Below are 22,947 nucleotides of genomic sequence, written 5' to 3' on the forward strand. Positions count from 1 at the left end.
TTATTACAGACAACACAGGGAAAGATATGAGAATGTAGCTCTTTTCTACAACTAGGCATTAAAAATATACTTCTTACTAAATATTTTTTGTTTTGGAAACTATAGTTATCCTTTTATAAGCATATGTTGTTTATATTAACATGTAATGGATTCAGTCATTTATTATTAATTTATTATTTTTTAGCATGAATTTATAAATAAATATATTAAAACTTTCACAGTTTTAATTTCTACCATGGCAAATATTGATTGCGATAAGCCATATAAACAAAAACTCTCTGGGAAGCTCAATGATTTCTAAGAGTGTGAAGGCATCTTAAGCCCTAAAAGTCTTGAGTGTCACTGATTTAGAACATTGCTTAGCTCATAGTAAAAGGCATATAATCCTTAACACTTTTATTGGCTAATTATTCACACACCTAGAATTACTTGTTCCCAAAGTATGTATAATTTTAATAACAGTTAACTTTTATTAAAGATTTACTTTGTGTGTGCCAGACACTGTGCTCTTTGCTTTGCATGTATTATCTAACATAATTTTTAATAAAATGTGATGAGATAGGTACAAATGTTAGTTTTATTTTATAGATGAGGGAAATGAAGTATGGAGAAGTTAGGTAATTTGACCAAGGTCGCACAGTTATGAAATAGCAGAAATGAGACCCCAGGCAGTCTTGATTCCAGACTGCCCCTAATGACTTTTTTTCTGTATATTTGAGTTGTGTTTATATTATTTCCCCATTTAAATGCTCTGAGTCCCCCACCAACTTGATTGTAGGATCAGAGTCCATTCCCCCGACTCAACCCAAGCAAGTCTCCCTGGTACTTTCTAGGAACTTCCAAAAAATAACTCTCTCATGGAGCCACAGTCAAGTCCATCAGCCGCCATCCTCCACGTTCTACTCTATTCCAACCACTCTCTGGTTTCCACTGGCTACAAAACCAGTTGAAGGAGTTTTGCCATCACCTTCCTAATGATGCTCTTCATATATAAACTATTACCTCACAACCTCTGGGACACCAACAAGTGCTGGTTCTATCAAGACTGGCTACATAATTTGTAGGATCCAGTGCAAAATAAAAATGTGGGGCCTTTTCTTTAAAATTTATTTAAATAACTTTAAATGTTATTTAAAGTCTGCAACAGCAAAGCATTGATCAAGTGTGGGGTTCCATGTGAAGTGCTCTTTCAGTTGCATGCCTGGGGAATTGGCTATGGGTTCTCTGCAGAGATGGGAAATACCACAGCCTGTCTGAATCTGTCACAGCTTATGCCCCTTGGGCATGAAGGCAGGAGCCTGCAGCTCATGGCCTCACATACTTTCTTGTGAAAATGAGTCCTGCAGCTTCTAGTCGTTAGTCCTCTAGCCAGAGATCATCGAATCTAGTCTATAGGGATGGAGGCGCTGATGCCTTGACACTCCTTCTGCTATCTTGTCTTTCCTCTCCTTCCAGCAACAAAACCAAGCCTTTGTGCACATCTGTGGTTGTGACCAGTTGGAGAGACATTAGGAGATGAGATACTATGTTCACTCCTCACAGCTGTACCAGGGACCTGAGATATTCCGTCACTATTCTATGAGTGAGTAAATTTAATATGTGGAAAGAACTGAGAACTTTTTCTTAAAAGCATGAAGAGCAGGACTTTGTCAGGTTATAGAGAAATCAAACTATTTTTTTCTGAAGCCAAAGAGGGACACTAACTGCCTTATTTAACCAAGCCATGGGAAGGATAGAGCAGGCTGGTTTCATACATAAATGGATCTAGGGCCTTAGCCCAGTCTGACAGTCACTGTGAGAGTCTTACCCTGTTTGACTGGCCTTGACTTCAGACCCAGAGCTATCCCTGGACCCATCACTGTGGCCAGGGGAAATGGTAGGACCATTGGCCCAGATTGTGCCCACTCATGTGGTCAGGAAGCGGGCAGGAGTGCTATGACCATCTCTCACCATGGTGAGATGGGATAGTGGAGTAGGAGCCATTTGCCCCAGAAAGTAGTAACTATTCTGGATAGAACCTTTGTGGCAAAGCCATGGTTCTTCTAAAATAGCCCTTGCAGAAATGTAAACCTGAATGTGGGCAGGCAGAACAATGAGATCCAGGAAACAGGATTCAGTTTGAGAAAATCTGGTTTATTAGCAACTGACATCAGGTGAGTGCTGATGCTTATATCTCCAAAGCAAAATTTGGGAAACCAGAGAAAGTAAGGTCAAATCAGTAGAACCTCGTTATCCTGAGAGACACAGGGACTAATCCAGTGAATAATGTTCATGTGTTAGGATTTTGGAGATCCCACCAGTGGTTTTCCGGTGCCAGGGTATGAGAAGATAGTCTCCATGTCCAAACTCACAATTTCAGAACAAATTTCATCAAGATAAAGGTAAAAACAAGCCATGACCTGGGAATTTTGTCAGTCAGATCATATTGCAGAATTTATTTATTGCATACCCATGTCTTACAGCAAAAGGCAAATATGCAAAGGACACTCAGGTATGAAAATCACCCCTCCTCCACGAACCGGTGGCCTATGAAAGAGGAACCCAATGAGGAATTGGCATACGTCTGTTTTTATATTTCCTTTGTTTTGCACCAAAGGTCATATTTTTGCAATACTTCGCAATATTTTTGCAATATTTTGCAATATTTTGTCTATATTTGTTCCCCCAACACCCAAAATGAAGGGAGCTGATGAAATAGAGGCAATCAGGAAGTGGGGAGGGTCACTTTCTTAGGAGTGGGTGGAACCAATGAGAAGCTGTCTGATTTGCAGTGGTTCAGTGATTTCTTAAAATTCTTTGCAGGGCTGACCTATTTCTAATTCCTTGAGCCTATAGTCTGAAAGGTCATTAATCTGGGCTCGGCTCATGGTGCTGAAGCTTAAGACTTCTATTTCTTAAATGCCAAAGGTGTGTCAGGTTGCCTTTTGAAATGCTGGTATCTCTATTCAGGCATGCAGTGGTTAGTAGAGAGGTACATCAGCACTTTCCTTTGTCAGGGAAACATTCACCCAACCAAAGGAACCACCTGTGTTTTTAGTTTTTACTTTTCTTTCTTTTTTTTTTTTTTTTTTTTGCCATTTGGATCTTTGCCATGGATTCAAAAGACAAACCAATCTCCCCCACACACTTTCTTTTTTCTTTTTTTTTTTTTTGGTCAAGTACAGGGACAAACTGGTATGTGTTTGCTAATGGGTAACAGCATCAAATGTACTTTCTGAGAGTCAAGTTGGAGGAAAACATGAAAAGTATCAGTTTATTCTTGTCACTTTATGTCTCCTCATTTTCTATAGAATGAAATCTGAGCTCTTTGTTGTCACATATGAGGTTCTTTCTGGTCCTCTTTCTGCTTCCTTCGCTGATCTTCCTTCTTGCCTCTCCCCAAACTTACCTTTGACCTCTAAGAACCAGTCATGTCTCGGTTCACATCAGGGCCTTTGTAAATGTCATTCCTGGCCCTCTCACCTGGCGGATTCCTGCTGGCCTTTCGGGTTTCAACTCAGATGGTTGCTTCTTCTTCAGGAAGCCTCACCTGACTCCCCAACCCTGAAGGAGGGACTTCTCTTTGGCGTTCCCATAGCAACCAGTGCTTGCTGCAGGAACGCACTTCCTCTGCATGTAATTGCTTGTTTATCTGTCTTTCTTCCCTATTATGCCTTTTCTGGCTTCTTTCTTTTCCTCTTTCTCTTTCTCCTTCTTCTCCTTCATTTTAATGCATTTTCCTTGCATGAAATCCAAACATCACAGATAAAGAATGCCATCCTCCTGGGCCACGCGTCAGATCTCTTTCATGTCTCTCTAGATACACTTACCAGTCACTTACTCCCACAGTGCGCTGGGAGCCTGACCGTGGGGTCTGCCTTGACAGACATTTTGCCCTCCAGCTTCCTATTGGGCTTGGCCACTAGGGACACAAAAGAAGGTCAGAGGGTGGGAGGGAAAGGGTTTGATGTATGCGTCTCCTACTTCCCTCCCCGCCACATTCCCACGGCTGATTGTGTCCCTCTAACTAAGGCTCTAGGTCTCCTCAGGTGTCCCTCTTCCTGCAGTCACCTCTTGGGCTCTGGTGGCACTTTTTCTTCTTGTCCTTCAGGCCTGGGCTGGTGAATGGTTCCTGCTTTCACTATTCCAGATGTCCAGCTCTGTACCTTGCTGCTCTCCTTAAAGCCTGCCTCCCTCTAGGTAAGGTGTCCCTGTATTAAATGTTCCTTCCACTACCCAGTGTACATGTGCATTCCATCATGCTGAGAGCCTCACTGATTCTGACAATCACTTCCAACTCTAGTCCTTGCCCCTTCCTCGAGTTCACCCAGTTATAACTATGTCTTCTAGAATATCACAACCCTAGATGCTGGCACAGTATCATACACATAGAAGGAGTCCAATAAATGTTGACTAAATGCTGTTGTTGAATCTTGGGCTCCCAGGAGAAGATGGGATAAAAGTTGCTAATTTCAGCCAAACACTCATTTCCTCTGCACATCATAAAGATAAAACAGGATCACAGTTGTTAGAGTGGAAAATTCCCTCACTGTTATGGCAGCAGATAGCTAGTATGTATTCCAATGAAAGACTCAGGAATGGGTATAAAAATAATCCACTGTATACCATCAAAAATTGAAAGCACATTCTTTTCCTTTGAAATAAGATCGGCTTCTAGAAGCTTTCACTCCAACACCCATCCATCTAAAACTCCTCTCCAAGGGCACGAGTAAAATGCAACTTGTTTCATAATAAGTCCCAGGAGTTTACTTTAAAGACATGATTACCCAGAAGGCAATGAGAGCTGTCTACAATTTCTTTTGTTTTAAGAATATTTCTATCCTAAAGAAAGACAGGGCAGCACCAAAGTTTCACTGGAAATTTTGGCTTGTGAATTATACAGGAAATAGAAATTTTGCATATCTGTGATTGATCGTGGATTGGACCTCATTCCCCCAATTAGAGTTGCTCAACTATGGAGCATAAGGCTCCATCAAAAGCCCAACTATCTGTCACATCAGCATTAGGCCAAGCTGTAAGCTGACAGCCTTTATTCTACAGTGGTTTCATTGCTGGGATCAATGACTGTTTCAAAACCAAGCTGGGGCATTGCATACTCGAGCCATTATTATAGCTACTATTAGCAGTGTCCTTACCAGGTACTTTGCACGTCTTATCTGACCCAGGCCTCCCATCAGCACCATGAGGGGGATGCTTTTAGCATCTCCATCTTACAGATGAAGACACTGAGGCTTAGCCAGATGAAGGGGCTTCTCCAGCTGAGTGGTGCCGGCAGTACTTGCTTTGCAGCCTAGGTTCCTTATCATGTTTCCATTCACCTGGATGGAGTTGAGTCAAACTGCCTCTGGCCGCCTCCAGCTTCCTGCTGGGCTTTGCTATTAGGGGCACCAAAGAAGATCAGAGGGTCGGAGAGAAAGGGTTTGCAAATTTGCAAATATGCAAAATTTCTATATTTTGTATAAATCACAGGCTGAAATTTACAGTGAAACTTCAGAGCTATCCTGTCTTTCTTTAGGTTAGAAATATTCTTGAAACAGAAGAAACTGTAGACAGCTCTCATTGCCTCTGGGTAATCATGTCTTTAATGTAAACTCCTGGGGCTTATTATGAAACAAATTGCATTTTATCTGTGACCTTGGAGACAAATTTTAGATGGATGGGTGTTGGAGTAAAATTGAGTCTGGGCTGCCTGTCTACCTTGGTACCAACTTCTACTCTTGTACTTTTCTCATTGTGTTGCATTGGCTCATACTCAAAGGTTAAAAAGAAAAATTGGCACAAGCCACATTTGGTCCACAAACTCCTTGCCCTCCAAGGTTCTTAAAGGGCATGAAATTTTGCTGGATCACGCTTCAGAGTTGCTCATAACATTTCTGATTTTATTGAATTCCCCCCTCCTCCCTTTTTAGGTCCTTAGGTAAAACTCCACTAAAACAAACAAACAAACAAACAAAAAAACAATGACCCATTGCCAGCAATCCTCTGGCTGCACCTTTTTCTGTTGTCTTTAGATTCATGGAGTAGACATTCAACTAAGCAGAAATCCTCCTCCAACCCTTACTTCTTCCCTCTCACCAAACATTCCCATGCCTGACTCTTCTTTACCTTAGAAATGTCCTCGTTATCCCCATTAGTATCAGCTGGTTCCATTAGGACACAGATATCCCGACCTGGACATTCTAGAGATTTATTTCCTCACCAGGCACTGGTTTGGTAAAGTTCTCCTTATTCCACAACATGAGCACTGTTAGCATTTTGGACCTGACAATTCTCCATGGTGGGGGCCATCCTGGGCATTGTAAGTTGTTGAACAGCATCCCTGGTCTCTACACATGAGATGCCAGTAGCGTCTCCAGTTGTGACAAACAAAACTGTCTTCAGATATTGTCAAATATCCCCTGAGGCCAAAATAACCCCTAGTTGAGAACTACTGGTTTAGTGAATGACAAGTGGGGCCTGGCAGCAATACAGGTAGCTCCACACATTCCTACACATCAAGGCTCCTTGGAACATGCTCAGTGGTGACTGTGAGTCTCCCTCAGGAACAGGGGAGTTAGAAGCCCCCAAAGTGAGGATCCCAGTGCTTTTTTTTTCTGAAGCCCTTTCATATTTTATGCCTATAGAAGCTTAGGGTCTTAATACATTCATTTCTGCATGGGTGGGGTTTCAGTCTGCAACAAGATCTTGTAGGGATGCTATCGCTGGCTATTAGGTGATCACAGTTCTGTGCATTGTCTCACCCAGTCCTCACAGTAACTCCAAAGACAGGTTGTATTATGATCCTATTCTATAGATGAAGGAACTTAGGAAAGTCACACATCCAGGCCATACAGGTAGAGAGTGATGAAGCCAAGACTTGAGGCGAGGTCTTTTTGATTCCAGGTATGGATTGGCTGATTATAACTGCTTCTTTTGTGATAAGAGAGGGTACTGGGACTCCTCTACTTGAGAAAGAAATGCAGTAAGTGAAAGAAATGGTGGAAACTCAGATGCTGGACAACACATCCAGGAGGCTGGCTCCTCTCCATCAATAAACCAAGAACAGTTGCTTAGTGCTGTCACTTCAGAAAACTGACTGAGAGAGGCCAGATAATGATCCTTCCTTCTCCATATCTATCTGCCAGTCTAACTTCTCAGTTCCATGTTCTACTTAAGGGGCAGGAAGGCTTTATTCAGTTGTGCTATTGCTATTCAACGAGTGTTGCCACCTAGTTTAGCTACAATCACAACATGATTTCATTTGATAAGCTATGTGAGGGCAGAACAATGTCTGTATTGTTTGCCATTTTATTCTCAGCACTTGGGGCTCTCAATGAGCATTTCTGAAATGAATGAATCAATGAATTAATGGATAAATCTATCTTGAGAAAGAGTAGGTAAATTTTTACTTTTATTGCTTTTCTTAGATTTTTAATCCATGAGCAGGAATTAGTGATGGGTTTCAAGATGATCAAACTTAATGTGGTATGTACATTATTGATGTGGAATCTTAAAAATCTCTACTGTCCATTATATGTACTGAAACATCACTATGTACCCTATAAATATGTACAATTATTATGTGTCAATTAAACTAAAAGGAAAGAAAATATATACAAACGGGTAAATCTGTGTTTCCAATACACATCTTTTGAATGACAGCAGAGCATAATACGGTATTTCATAAAAGCAAGACAAAACACAACAAAATGATTTGGGGGTACATTGACTCATGATTAAATAACAGTGACACTCCTAGTAGGAAAGATTTGCCCATTGGATTTTCTTTAAGTCCTTCTGTCTGGTTGGGGAGAAAGTCTCAGCTGGTGCTAACGTAGTCTTTAACACCACACTATCACTTGTTAATCTCCCTTTTTGACAAAGGAAGAGGAGACTTCAGGCTCAGACCCTTCAACAGGCAACAAGTCCAGATAGAATTTTATAGCATTTTAATGTTTATATTGTGACATATTCAAGTTGGTCATCTATGTAAGGCAAATGACACTTGTGCTTTACATTTATGGTTTTTGTAAAATATTTCCCTTTTAAATAAATCTAGGAAACCAAAAAGGAAGGGAAAGCTATTGAAAGTAAAGCATTTCATGTCTTTATAACAGTTATTGCATAGATATGGCAAACATTTTTGATGCAGTACACAAATGGATGGAATTTAAGAAATACTGTCACACCTGCTAAGAACGAAGATGGAACTGGTTTTTAATCCTAAATTTACACCTTGCTAGAAAGGTGGACTTCAGGAAATTCTTTTGCTTTTCCAGGCCTTGATTGTCCTCAGATGGAAATGGGGATGGTATGTACATCATAGTTTTTTAAATAATATTTTAATGAGATAGAATACTTTATTACCTGGCATTTAGGAAGAACTCAAAAAAAGGTTGCCATTTGTTGTTTAGATCTTGTTTACCCATAAGCTGATGCCATTAAAGACGGACAATAATACCAGGGAATGAAAAATATGCCTTCTTTTATTTTCAGATGGTCTGGCTTGATGATATCCAACCTGACGTGGCCTGAAGAGACAGACAGTGGCTCTTGCTAGCTAATTATTGTCAGATGGATCGGCAGCCGACCAACGCTTCTGAAACTATTGTTTTTGGCAAATGTTCCTCAACATTTTCCTGGTATATAAATAATGATCCCTTGCAGAAAGTCACTTCCTTTAGTTTCCTTGGTGTACGTTTCACAAATGGTTTGTTTTGGCAGGTTCTCCAGGAAGTCACTTTATCATAGCTACAGGTGGTTTATGAAGAATTCATTTTGGTTAAGGAGGACACCTGATTAGGCCTGCCTTAAACATTTTCAGGCCATAGCTATTTGGGAAATGTTACATTCTCTTGGGTCTTGACCGTCTATTCTGTGTCTTGGGGCAGATTCAGAACAAGATTCTGTGTAAAATCTGGAAATTTTGGCTTTGGCTTTGGAACTGGGTTATCTGACTCCCATCCAAGCTTTTTTGTTGTTGTTGTTGTTGCTGTCTCCCTCTCTGATCATCTAATACTCCAAGAACAAAGTCCAGTAACCAGTGTTTTTGAGATGGAACCAAATGGTGAAAGAAAGAGAGAGGGAATTTTAAAGGGCTGTTGATCAGGAAAGACATATCAGAGAGTGAGGTAGCTTGGAGAAAGGGAAGGGAGTGGTGCTTGGGGGAGGGTACCTGGATCCTGGGGGCCCACTCACCACCTTTATAGGGGCAGTAGATAGGAGGGTAATGTCAGAGGATTGCTTAGTGGTCGAGTACATCTTCTTAGGGGCAACTAATTCCCTCTACTCCCAGCAGGGTTCTACCAACAGACCGTATTCATTAGCACAGAGGTTGACTGCTGTCATAGGGACCCAGGATGAGTTTGGCTTAACCAAAAGAGAAGCCCTTTCTCTCTCTAAGCCTAGGGCTGCTATAGTATGGCAGTACCATAGTATCAGTCATCCAGCACCTTCTTACTTGTTGCTTCTCCATTTTTTGACAACTTCCTTGTTTGTCTGACTCAGAATGGTTTACTACCATCCCCACATTTCAGCTAGGGGGAAGAAGTAAGTGCAGACGAGTGGGCAAGGTGCTTGAGAAGCCATGACCCAGAGTTTGCACATATCACCTCACTTAACAACCCTTACAAATATTTACCAAGCACTTCAGACTCAAGCACTGTGAATAAAGCATATTAGATTTCTACCTTCAGTTTAAAAGGCCAATTAGCATTCTTCAGGGGCTACAGTCTCATTTCCTTGCCCATAAATAGTTATCAAATTTTCAGAAAAACATATTCATTGTTTCCTATATTCATTGTTGTGCATGAAGAACATTGTTGAGTTCTGCCTGAGTGCTGGGGTAACAGCAAAGACAGTAGGCAGATCCTCCCTGCAGGGAACATACAGTCTGCTGAAAAATAGTAATGAACAAATATGTGAGCAAACTGAAAAAGCAGTTGCAGGTGGGGCATGGTTGCTCACATCTGTAATCTCCACACTTTGGGAGGCTGAGCTGGGAGGATCACTTGAGCTCAGGAGTTCCAGGCCAGCCTGGGCAAGATAGTGAGACCCTGTCTCTAAAATTAAAAAAAAAAAAAAATTCAAACAATTAGCTGGGCATGGTGGCACATGCCTGTGGTCCCAGCTACATGGGAGGTTGGGGAAGGAAGATCACTTGAGCCCGGAAGGTTGAGGCTACAGTGAGCCTTGTTCACGCCACTGCACTCCAGCCTGGGCAACAAAGTGAGACCCTGTCTCAAAACAAAAACAAAAACAAAGAACAAGTAATTGCAAATTGTGGCAAGCGTTTTGGAAAAAAAACCAAACTGAATGCTTAAAGAGAAAAGAATGAGAAAGCATCTTGTTTGAATTGATGGCTTCCAAAGCTTTTTGAGACAGTGTCATTAGAAAGCTTATCCTTGAGAAGAAGGGAGCTGAGAAGGAGGGAGCCAGGTGAAATTCTGGGATGTTGGAATATTATACAGCAGTGAAGATGAAAGAGCCACAGCTATATGCAACCATGTGGCTACATCTCAGAAGCATACAGTTGAGTGAAAAAAAAAATCACCTAAGACTACATACACTATGATACCATTTTTATCAACCTCAAACAAACAAAACCAAGTAGCATATTATTTCAGGATGCATACATATGGAATAAAACTAAATACAAAAAAAGACATGAGAATGATAAACACAAAATTCAGAATAACGTATACCTGAGTGGGAGAGAAGGAGAAAATAACAGGATATTCAAGATAAAGTGACAGTTTTAAAGTTAGATGGTAGGTTCCTGGATGCTAGTTTTGTTAGTGTGCTTTCCAACTTACACATGTGTTAAATGTATTTTTGAATGTGTCTAACATTGCTTAATACAACACATTTTAAAAACATAGAGGAGGGGCATTCAACTCAAGTATCTAGGGAGTCCAGGCAGGCAGTGTAAACTGGTGAAGTGGCTGAGTGGGTCCCTGGGGAACACCAGAGCACCTGCCTCATCTACAGGGGTGCCACCGCCCAGTCCCTGCCTGGGGTTGCCGTGTGAGCTTGCAGGCCAATTACCCAATAACATCCATCCAGAACTTCCGATTTTTCTTAAGGAGCCTCACATCTGACATCTGCATTTTTACAAAGCACTATTCCAATGCTGGCAACGATTCCAAATTTCAAAAACTCTGTGGGGGCAAACAATACCCTTTGGGAGGCATACCAAGTCTCAGAAATAGAGGAAGTACTTGGAGGCCAACATTAATTCCGTGCCTATTTGCAACAAGAATGCCTAAATGTATTTCTATCATACTGCGCTGCTCGAATGCAGGCAGGAAGGAAACCCATCCCCTCTGCGTTCCCAGAGTGTGCTATTTCCAACCTGTGGCTCTGCTGGGTTCCTGCGCCTCTCTCACTTGTGAGCTCTCACCTCTAAGTTTGGAACGTGTGAAGGTGGTGCCAGTGCAGCTGAGAGCAGGCGGGCAGGAGCTCAGGCTGCGTCTCCATCCGAAAGCCTGCTTTCTGCATAGCACCCTCGCCCCCGGCCTTCCAGGCCCGGCTGTGCATGGTATTTGCAACACTCTCATTTTCCCCTAAAGGGCCGTGGGGGAGGAATGGGCAACCTGCAGCTAGGACCATGCTGCTGAGATCTAATTTACGTTGTCCACTGTTGGGACCGAACACTTTCCATGCAAGAGTATGCAGACCCCAAGGGACATTTGGCAATATGTGGAGATATTTTTATTGTCACAACTGGAATGGGGGCACTGCCCAGATTTGTGGGTGGTGGATTGTGGGTGGAGGTCAGGGATGCTGCCAACCATCCTGCAATGCACAAGACAGCCCCCCTTCCTCACCCCAACACTCCAACAAAGAATTATTCCACTGAAGAGGTCAGTAGTGAACAGTGCTGAGGCTGAGAAACTCTTTTCCCTCTGTCTGCTCCCACCAAAAGACAAAGGTAAATAAAGCCCACTCCCTGTGAGTGATGAAAGGTGTGTGTTGGGGGTGGGGTACGGTGAGGGGTGTAACATGAATTTAGAAGAAATGCCCTTTAGCTAGAGCTGGGATTTGTGGCCACTATTTTTGTTTTTATTAAAGCGTAATGCTCACAAGCAGAAGAGGAGATTTGTTATTCTAAAGACAGTTGCACACCAAAGCATGCTATTGTATAATCTGGCATTTTCCCCACTAGGGAGCTATGGTGCATTACTCACGAGTGACAGAACCAACGAGCTTCATCTCCCAAGAGGCTGGTGCATCTGTTTAAAGGAGCAGGCACTAGGCAGAGCAGCCCCCACCCCACCCTCCATGGCAGAGTGCAGTGGGGGAAGGTAAGCTTCATTTCAGTCACAGTGAGGATGAACCATGCATTGATTCTATGCCCGCCCCACTCCCACTCCCCAAAAGGAGAGGGTCGAGTCCAGTTGTGTTCTAGTAGCGGGACCACAGGAGAGGAGGCGATTATTCTAGGCTTCAGTTCAATAAATGTGATTAGGGAAGTTCTAGCTCTTTCTGCACCTCAGTTTCTCAGAAGACCTGTGCATACTGGGGCCAAGAGCTTGGGGTTTGGGAGTCAGTTGGGTGTCATCAGTTTGAATGCAGGTTCAGCGCTTACGGTGTGTGCCCTTGGGCCTTGACTTCTCCCTGAGTCTTGGTTTTCTCATCTGAAAAGTAGGGATAATAATGCTTGTCTCATAGGGTCACAAGAGACAAGGATTATAAAGCACTCAGCACTTGCCAGGCATGTAGCAAGGATCATTCCAGTATTCAGAGATAAAAGGAAGTCAACACATCTTCCCTTTGCACCTCGCAGAACAGTTGGGAATTGAAATGAAACTATGGATGGGAAAATACTTGGAAAACTTAAAAGTGCAATATCAGTGAAATGTAATGAAATCAATGTAAACATCAATGCAAATAGCGATAGTGTTTATTGTGCTGATCCAAATAAAATGGAAACATTATTACACACTATAATTATAGCCAGTTAGAAGTGGAAGAAAATTAGGTCTGCGTTAGTTTAAACCTTCTGTTTTATAAGGGGAGAAATTGACTTTAGTGGCAAAACTTTCATGAACCCCAGCCTGGTGCCCTTTTTCCACTCCCCACAAAGTTAACTTGTTTAATTTGGCAGCCAGTTAGAGCATTACGGCATCAGATGGAAGGTCTGTAACATACAGACATAACCCTCAGTTTCTTCATCTCTAAAATGGACATGATAATGAAACCCAACTCACAAGGTAGTGATGAAGAATGAGATCATGCAGGTCAAATGTTTAGCAGGCATGCCTAGCCCATGGAAAGTCCTCCAGAAACAGTAATTATCATTATCCTTATTAATGGTAGTAATTGAGATGACATCTGTACATGTATCTCTCCCAGAATCTGACATAAACTGGAGGCGGGGGGCAGGGTGGTCAATATATATTCATTTGTGCCATTGCAGATAACAGTACCTCAATGTTCTGAGAAACATTGGTGGGGACTCTAAGTCTTCCTGAACAATTCACCATCACATTGTCTGGTTCCTGGACATCCCAGGGGAGGACCTGGACAAGCCAATGACATCCTTTTGTAGCTTCAGAAATGATAAAAGCTGTCTGATAGTCTAGAATTCGGACAGGGGTAGAATTCTACAAGCCAAAGGCCCTGATACTAATTTTGTTCTAGTCTTTGTATTAGTCCTTTTTTACACTGCTGATAAAGACATACCCAAGACAAGGTAAATTATAATGAAAAGGAAGTTTAATGGACCCACAGTTCCACGTGGCTGGGGAGGCCTCGCAATCATGGTGGAAGGCAAAAGGCACATCTTACATGGCAGCAGGCAAGAGAATGAAAGCCAAGCAAAAGGGGTTTCCCCTTATAAAACCATCAGATCTCATGAGACTTATTCACTACCATGAGAACAGTATGGGGGAACCTCCCCAATGATTCAATTATCTCCCACCATGTCCCTCCCACAACACGTGGGAATTATGGGAGCTACAATTCAAGATGAGATTTGGGTGGGGACACAGCCAAACCATATCAGCCTTAGAGGATTTGTGAACATTTAGGGTGGGCAGCAGAGATCAGTCACATGTTCCGATGGCCCTAGACCAGTGGTTCTCCAATTTTGGCCTGCATCAGGATCACCTGGAGAATTGTTAAACCACAGGTTACCGGCCCCATGCCCTCTGAGGGTCTGGGGTGAAGTCCTATATTTTGCATTTCTTTTTTTTGTTTTTTGAGACTGAGTCTCGCTCTGTCGCCCAGGCTGGAGTCTAGTGGTGTGATCTTGGCTCACTGCAACCTCCGCCTCCTGGGTTCAAGCCATTTTCCTGCCTCAGCCTCCCGAGTAGCTGGGATTACAGGTGTCCACCACCATGCCCAGCTAATTTTTGTACTTTTAGTAGAGACGGGGTTTTGCCATGTTGGCAAGGCTGGTCTTGAACTACTGACCTCAGGTGATTCACCCTCCTCAGCCTCCCAAAGCGCTGGGATTACAGACGTGAGCCACTGTGCCCAGCCTAAATTTTGCATTTCTAACAAGACCCCAGCTGATGCTGATGCTCCTGGTCCAGGGACTGCACTTCAGAATCACAGTCCTGGAGCAGCATTGCTCTGCTACAGTACTGCTGATGTTTAGGGCTGGCTAATTCCTCGTTGTGGAGGGTACTGTAGGGTGTTTAGCAGCATCTCTGGCCTCTATTCACTAGATACTGGTAGCAGTTTCAACAACCAAAAATGTCTCCAGACATTGCCTAATGCCCTCTGTGGGGCAAAATCTCCTGGTTGAGAACTGCTACTGTAGACCGAGATGATTAGAATCAAACCCTAGTCACTTCTTGTCATAGCAGTATGACTTCAGTCATATTGCTGTACCTCTCTAGGCTTCTTCATCCATGTAATGGGTACAGGGATGCCAACCTCATAAGATCCAAGTAGAGTCTAAGAGATAATACAGGGAAAGCACTAAGCACAGTTTCTGTACACATTGAGCAGCTTAATTCATGTTAGTTATTGCTTTTGAGCCCTCCGTAGCAGATCAACTTAGTGCAATGTTTTTTTTCCTCCCATCAAGAAGTTTTCATAGAAATGCTTTCTATAAAGCATTTTCATAGAGAAAGCAGGTTCATATAGAAAGCACTGGCTGCTGGTTGGAGTGGAGAGATTGAAGACCCTCATCTAGGATCAAGCAACCCCCAGAAAACAATTTTAAACATGTCCATTCAGACAAAAGGAGTCCAAAACCATAAGATCCTCTCAGCATCCTGAACTAATGTCCAGCTGTTATCTCGGTGAGTAGCTCCCAATCCTTAGCTCAGAAGTGACTGACTACAAAAGCATATTCCAGCTTTATGAGCATACCTCCTGCTTGCTAGCCAGGGTTGATACTACAGAGATGTCTTTCCAGTTTTTAGAATTTAAAACAATGATCTGGTCACTCACATTTTCTTTCCCAACTTTGCTCTAGAAGTGAGCTTTCAAATCTGGAGCACTTCTGCGTTCTGAGTTCCCAAACAACTCCTGTTCAAGGGTGATCTATATCTATGCTGCCACACACAAGGGATCATGGATTTTTCTTTGGCTGTCAGCTCTCAAAATTACCCAGCAATCCCAAAATGAATTTCCACTAATCTGACAGTTTTGCCTCTCCTGACATGATGTACTGTATATTCAGTGGTCAGCAGGGACTATTTAATTGCAGTTAAGCCTGTGCTGTTCACTGTGGCATTCAAAATAGAGCAATGTGTAACGTGGCTACCCTTACTGACTCTCCAGGCCCAGATGGGTGGGTGGAACTCAATTTTGGGGGGAAACTTCTACTTGGGAACATTTAGTAATTAAGTTTTACTGACTAGCAGCTTTAATTCTTTCACTTTGAAGATTTATAAATGTTAGAATCAAAACTAACATCAAATCTCTCTACAAGGTAGAAGGAACTAAAATATCAGATGAAACTGATGATGAGTTACAAATGGATTAGAAACTCAAGAAAGGAGAGATTAACATTTTCAGAGTACGTACTATGTGCTTGGGAGTTTGCAGGTGTTATCTCACTTTTCTCTTAAAGCATTTCAAAGAGGCAGGGACATTCCCCCCCCCCCGTTTTACAGATGCAGAAACTGAGGACTTAAAGAGATTAAGTTACTGCCCAAGACCTGTGGGTTGTGTGAGCAGAGCCAAGATTTGAGCCCAGGTTTTTCTGATAACAGTCTAGATTCTTATGCCCCCACACTAAACTTCCCAAAAGATGCTAGATGTCATTGGTTTTTCAACTGTTTATTTGACGGGTGGAGAAACTGAGGTGTAGACAGTTCAAAGTGACTTTCTCAGAATTAAGTTATCTCAGGCTCAGGAAATTAGCCTGTGGGTATTCATAAGTCTGATTATTAAGAATAATGCGGTGCTTTGCTGCTTATAAAGTGCTATAACATCCATTATCTCATACTAAATTTTGGTTTTCAAGCAATTCTGTTATATGAACTGATAACTCAAAAAGAAAAGCATTTTGAAAAGTGCTCTTTTTCCCACTGTTGAATCTAATGATAAATATCTGCAGTATAACCACAAAAATGCTACTGTAAGGTGCCATGAACACATGAAGAGCAAAGACTTAAGTGGATTCACGTATTCAGCAAATATTATTAAGCTTGTAATATGTGCTAAGCATTATTCCAGGTGCTGGGAATACTGCAGTGAGTAAAATATTTAAAAATTCCCTACCCTAAGAGGGCTTACATTTTGGAGGGCGCAAGCAGATAACTAAGTAAATGAGCGAGATATATAGCATGTCAGGTCATAAGTGTGAGCCAGCAAAATCAAGATGGGAAGGAGAGAAGGGGGCACTGGAAGCAGGGATTAAGTGGAGAGGGTGATATTTGAATGCAGACGTACAAATATGAAGAACAAGCTTTTTTAGTATATCGGGAAGAGCATTCCGGGTAGAAGGAACAGCTAATGCTAAGTCCTTGAGGCAGTAAATATACACTTTGTTATGTTTAAGAAACCCTAATGGTTAGCGATGTGGCAATTTTTCATGGACTTATTTGCCATTCATATGTCTTCTGTGGTAAAATATCTGTTCAAGTCTTTTGCCCTTTTTGGGTAACTGTTTTTCTTCTTCTCCTTTTCCTCCTCCTCCTCCTCCTCCTCCTCCTCCCCTTCTTCTTCTTCTTCTTCTTCTTCGTCTTCTTCTCTTCTTTACTTCTTCTCCTCCTCCCCTTCTTCTTCTTTTTCATCTTCTTCTCTTCTTTACTTCTTCTCTTCTTCTTCTTCTCCTTCTTCTTCTTCTCTTCTTCTTCTTCTCTTCTTCTTCTTCTTCTTCTTCTTCTTTTTTCCTCTTCCTTCCTCTTCTTCTTCCTCTTCCTCTCCTCTCCTTCTCCTTCCCTTTCCCCTTCTCCTTCCCCTTCCCCTTCTCCTTTTTCTTCTCCTTCTCCTTCTCCTTCTCCTCCTCCTTCTCCCTCTCCTTCTCCTTATTGAGACAGGGTTTTACTCCCATTGTCCAGGCTGTAGTGCAACGGTGCGATCTTGGCTCACTGCAATCTCTGCCTCCCAGGCTCAAGAGATTCTCCTGCCTCAGCCTCCCAAGTAGCTGGGACTACAGACACACACCACCATGCCTGGCTAATTTTTGTAATTTTTTTTTTGTAGGGATGGGATTTCACCATGTTGTCCAAGCTGGTTTTGAACTCCTGGGGTCAAGAAATCCACCTGCTTCGGCCTCCCACAGTGCTGGGATTACAGGTGTGAGCCCCTGCACCCAGCCTAATTAAGTTTTGAATATCTTATCCCTATCAATGACTTGTCTTTTCATTCCTCTAACGTTCTTAATTTTGATCAAGTCCAATTTATCTTTTCTCTCCTTTATAGATTGTGCTTTTGGTGTTACATCTAAGAAATCTTTGCTTTTGATTATTTTAAAAATTGATTTTCTCATCAAGTAAAAGAAAATGTACTTTCAAGTTCCTTTAAGTATATCCACGTTGCCTAGGCAACCAAGTTATTTATCAATAGGTGATCATTTGTAATGATTTGTTAATAAAGGAATTAGAAAATCTTGCCTTCCATGATCCTTAATCTACTTGCAAGACCTCAACCCCTTTAGTATAAACTTATCCAAGACCTACGGTCAAGTTGGAAGAGAGGCAGGTGTGATTTTGTGGGGAAAGCTTCCTGGGCCCCAGCAATAGGAGACTGAATTTTCTTCTTTGTTCTGCTACTAATCAGAAGCTCAACTCTGGGCCAGTTGTACTCTCTTTTTTGTTTACATTTCCAATTGCAAAAGTAAGGAGTTGTACTAGATTTTTCTGTGCTCCTGTCTAGTCCTAATACTATATAAATGGGACATTGACAGTAAATTGAACATCTTCAGCAGGACCAGGACTAGAGTCAGGCAAGAGCTGCATCTAGGGTACAGCATTTAAGAAGCTGTGCGCGGCCAGGCAGGGTGGCTCGCACCTGCAATCCAGCACTTTGGGAGGCCGAGGCGGGTGGATCACGAGGTCAAGAGATCGAGACCATCCTGGCCAACATGGTGAAACCACGTCTCTACTAAAAATACAAAAATTAGCTGGGTGTGGTGGTGCTAATATAGTCCCAGCTACTCAGGAGGCTGAGGCAGGAGAATTGCTTGAACCCGGGAGGTGGAGATTGCAGTGAGCCGAGATCATGCCACTGCACACTCCAGCCTGGTGATAGAGCAAGACTCCATCAAAAAAAAAAAAAAAAAAAAGGAAGCTGTGTGCTCTCAGGATTGTCCAAATTTTCATTCTGTATTTCCACAACCCTAACAAGGAGCCACTTGGAAGACACTGGGAATGAGGGCCTCCATGAATTTTATGCCCTCCATAATTCTCTTGCCATATCCTAGTTCTGGTCCTGACCCTCAATGAGATAAGTCGGCATGACCCATGTGGGGGCTGTGATGAACTGGCACAGGGCGTCTTGCATTTGAGTATGCATTCGAATCCCCTGGGAATATTGTTCATTCTCATTCAGAGGTTCTGGTATGGGGCTTGGGATTCTGCCTTTCTAACAAGCTCCCAGATGATGCTTGTGCTGGTGCATGGGCCACATTTTTCATGTCAAGGAACTAGAATGTAGCAGCTTTGTCCAAAAAAGCAACTCACCTTCATACATTGCCATGTGGGAATTCAGTCCCCAGAGTGCTCAATGTCTTTTTTTGTTTTTTTTTTTTTTGTTTTTGTTTTTGGGACATAGTCTTGCTCTGTCACCCAGGCTTGATAGTGGCTTACTGCAACATTTGCGTCCCAGGCTCAAGCAATTCTTGTGCCTCAGCCTCCTGAGTAGCTGGGAATACAGGTACACGCCACCACGCCCAGCTAAGTTTTGTATTTTTAGTAGACATGGGGTTTCACCAAGTTGGCCAGGCTGGTCTTGAACTCCTGACTTCAAGCAATCTGCCCACCTCAACTTCCGAAGTGCTGGCATTACAGGTGTGAGCCACCATGCCTTGCCCCAAAGTCTTGATTAGTCAGAAGAGACACTAGAAATCTGTGGTGTAATATGAGGTCTCTGAAAATGGGCAAAGAAATAGCAAGATCTCAGAATCAATTTAACAACAAAGTCAACATCCCTGTCCCCACACCAGAAATGTTAGCCTAAAAAAGGATGACAGAGTTAGACTCAATTTCATTTCTCAGGGTGTCCTTGCTTGAGTTGACATGCAGTGATGGATCAGTGGCTCCCCTATTCTCTTCCATCCTTTTTGCCCACTGTGTCTCTACTAGTAATTTTCATCTTTGTTTTTTAGCATATCTCCCCCTCTCTCTTTCCACTCCCCAGCTCCTTACATGCCTCAAAGCTTCTCTGGAATAGACAGCTGTCTCCTTTGTCAGCCCAACATCCATTTGTTCTCCTTCTGGCATCAGCCTGTTTTGTTTTGAAGATTTATTCTCTCCCCACATTCAGCTCATGGGATTCAAACCAGACTGCACCTTCCTGTACCCATGGCTCCAGTAGGAACCAGGCCCAAGTTGGCCGATCAGGGTATTCTATCACCCCAGCTCCAGTGATTGGCTGAGGAATGAGCACATTACCCAGGCAGGATGGATTACCTTTCTTGCCCAGCCTGAGTTATTGGAAAAAGCGAGCCCTTTCCCTTGGAATTGGAAAACTGGCAATAATGATATCTAACACTTACTGAGTGTTTACTCTCTACCAGGCACTGCTTTAAGAACATGCTTTTACATGAATTATCTCTTTAATCCTTACAACAATCCTGTTTTGTATGTACTTTTATTGTCATCATTTCACAGATGGGGAAACTGAGGCACAGAGAGGTTAGAGATATGCCTGAAGCCACACAGCTTGCAAGTGGTGGATCTGGGATTTGAACTTGTCGATCTGGCTGCAGAGCTGAGCTCTTGGAGACTAGGTTTTACTGCCTAGTAGCATGTAAGCCTGGAACTGCCGGCAGTCATTTTGTAAGTTTGCCGAGTGAACCTCAATGAGCATGAAGCAGAGAGGAAAGCAGTACTAAGAGATGCAAAAGAGTCTGTGTTCCAGCAATGGGATCTGAAGTCCTGGATCAAACCTTACCTGGAGACAAGATTTACCCATCAGACATGCCAGTTATAAGACCCAAATTTACCCTTTTTGGGGGATTGAGTTTGAATGAGTATTTTTGTTTGTTTGTTTTGGCATCAGAAAGACTCCTGATTAATACACAGTGTGACGCTGACCAAGATGCTTCCTTTCTCTAGGACTCAATTTTCTTATCTGTAAAGTAAAGGGTTCATCAACATTCTTTGGTTGAATCTTACCTGAAACATTTTGTGAGCCTTCACCAATCTCATCTAAGCCTTTGTTTCCATAGAACAAAGCCCTTTAAGAAAGGAGGGGAAAGTGTCATGGAGTCTTACTGTCCTGAGTGCAAATATGGTCTCTGTATTGTCCTTATCTGTTCATTTTCTGCCTCTCAGTACTAGAATGAAAACTCTGGAAGAAGAAGGAATTTTGTCTGATTTTCTTACTGCTGTATCCTCAGTATTTTGAACTGTTTCTAACTCAGAGTACAATCTCAAAATTTTTTTTGATTTTCATATATCTGTATATATATTTGTTAAATGAGTGAAGAAATCCTTATATGTCTTTATGGATAACAAGCTGGCTTGGGCATGGTTTTCAGTTATGGGTCCTTCCTTTTGTGCGGGAGTGGTTATGGATGGTATTTGTTCCTCTCTGCTTCATAATTCTCTCATCCATTTTTGACTTAATGGACAGAAACAATAGATGAATAAAATGGAATCATCTCTGAACAAAACACAGGGTTTTAATGCTTCTTAAATCCTGTAACATATTATCTCTTCTAAACTCACAGTAAGCAGTTAAGTTCTTATGATGGATGAATTTCAGTTTCAAATGATATAAGAGAGGACTGTGTCTTACTTTCCTTCCTATTTTACTTATATTTCAATATCTTAGTAGAGCTATTATGCGAAATTGATCCCCCAGCATTAGGAAACAGGATGTTGCTGACACTGTTATATGCTATTATATAATGTACTATTATTTGTCATTTTTGTCATGACATCCAGCCCAAGCTTCTCTCTTGCAAATAAACCTCATTTTTGTTTTGGGTGGCAATGTGCTCAGATCCAGGTAATAATAAAGACTATAGTAGGCTGGGTGCGGTGGCTCACGCCTGTAATCCCAGCACTTTGGGAGGCCGAGGTGGGTGGATCACCTGAGGTCAGGAGTTTGAGACCAGTCTGACCAACATGGAGAAACCCTGTCTCTACTAAAAATACAAAATTAGCTGAGCGTGGTGGTGCATACCTGTAATCCCAGCTACTCAGGAGGCTAAGGCAGGAGAATTGCTTGAACCTGGGAGGCAGAGGTTGTGGTGAGCCAAGATCACTCTTTGGCACTCCAGCCTGGGCAACAAGATCAAAACTCCATCTCAAAAAAAAAAAAATATGATGATAATAAAATAAAATAAAATGACCATAGTAGCTATCACTTGAGTATTTTTTCCTATGTTTTAGGCACTCTTCTAAGCCAGAAACATGCATTTTATGTATTTGACATATGAAGGCATGGATTGGGATTAGGATCAGCCAGTCATGCTGTCACCAACCCTGAATTCCAGGCAGCTAAGTGTGGCCATGATGTTCCCCTGCCCAGTAAGAGGCTATGCAGCAGGTGGACTGGAGAAGAAGTGGGCTTTGCTTCCAGCTTTGCAACCTTGGAGAATTTATTTAGTGTCTCAATAGCTAAGGTTTTGTTTTGTTTTGTTTTGTTTTTTCCTTTTCTTAAATCTCTGAAATGGGGTTAATAATACTTACCTCACAGAGTTGTTGCAAAGGTTAGATGAGCTAACGCATGTGACACACTTAGAAAAATGCTTGACCAGTGCTTCTCAACTGAGACAAGTCTGCCTCCCAGGAGACATTTGGCAATGTCTGGAGACACTTGTGGTTGTCACAGCTAGGGTGGGAGTGGAGCAGGTGCTTCTGGCACCTAGTGAGTGGAGGCCAGGGATGGTGCTAAGCATTCTACAATGTACAGGACAGACCCTACAACCAAGAACAATCTGGTCCCGAGTGTCAATAATACAAAGTGGGAAATCCTGGCCTAGACCTTAATAAACACTCAGAGTATGGGAGCTGCTTGAGGGCTGCCTAGAACATAACCTCCAGAAGAGCAGAGAGATGTTGCTTTTTTCCCTGCCCTATCCCTGGAGCTTAGATTAGTGCTTGGCACATAGTAGTTTCTCAATAAGTATGTGTTAAATGAATGAATGATAGATACAATGACCCTTGGAAAATTTTTGCTGTCATGACTATTCCATCCTCCTCTGGTTTCATCCTACTTTGGTCTCAGTCATTATAAGTTGTTACAGGAGCCATTTACCATCATGGTACCCAACATGCTGATGGAAGAGGCAAAGGCTAGAAGGAATCTGGGCCTCTGATGACCTTGTCAGCCACTGCACTGGCCTGGACTACCGGATGCCAAGGTTTTCAGCCTATAAAAAAATGG

The 22,947-nt window shown here is 42.4% G+C and overlaps 1 long non-coding RNA gene across 3 annotated transcripts in view; it reads left to right on the forward strand.

Annotated features, from left to right (window-relative positions):
- The window catches only part of LOC105372666 (uncharacterized), a 483,513-nt gene extending 462,287 nt beyond the window's left edge, over positions 1-21,226 (forward strand). For 2 of the 3 annotated variants that reach the window (XR_007067652.1, XR_007067653.1), the window contains 8 exons: positions 1,456-1,582; positions 2,281-2,381; positions 4,091-4,179; positions 8,476-8,621; positions 12,146-12,284; positions 15,020-15,236; positions 17,593-17,685; positions 20,220-21,226. This is a non-coding gene — a long non-coding RNA (uncharacterized LOC105372666). Of the gene's footprint in view, positions 1-1,455; positions 1,583-2,280; positions 2,382-4,090; positions 4,180-8,258; positions 8,291-8,475; positions 8,622-12,145; positions 12,285-15,019; positions 15,237-17,592; positions 17,686-20,219 lie in introns of those variants that run through there. The other variant, XR_001754670.2, reaches the window with a different exon arrangement.
- The last annotated feature ends 1,721 nt before the right edge of the window (positions 21,227-22,947 follow it).

Source organism: Homo sapiens, chromosome 20 (assembly GCF_000001405.40).
Source record: "Homo sapiens chromosome 20, GRCh38.p14 Primary Assembly".
NCBI classification, from domain to species: domain Eukaryota; kingdom Metazoa; phylum Chordata; class Mammalia; order Primates; family Hominidae; genus Homo; species Homo sapiens.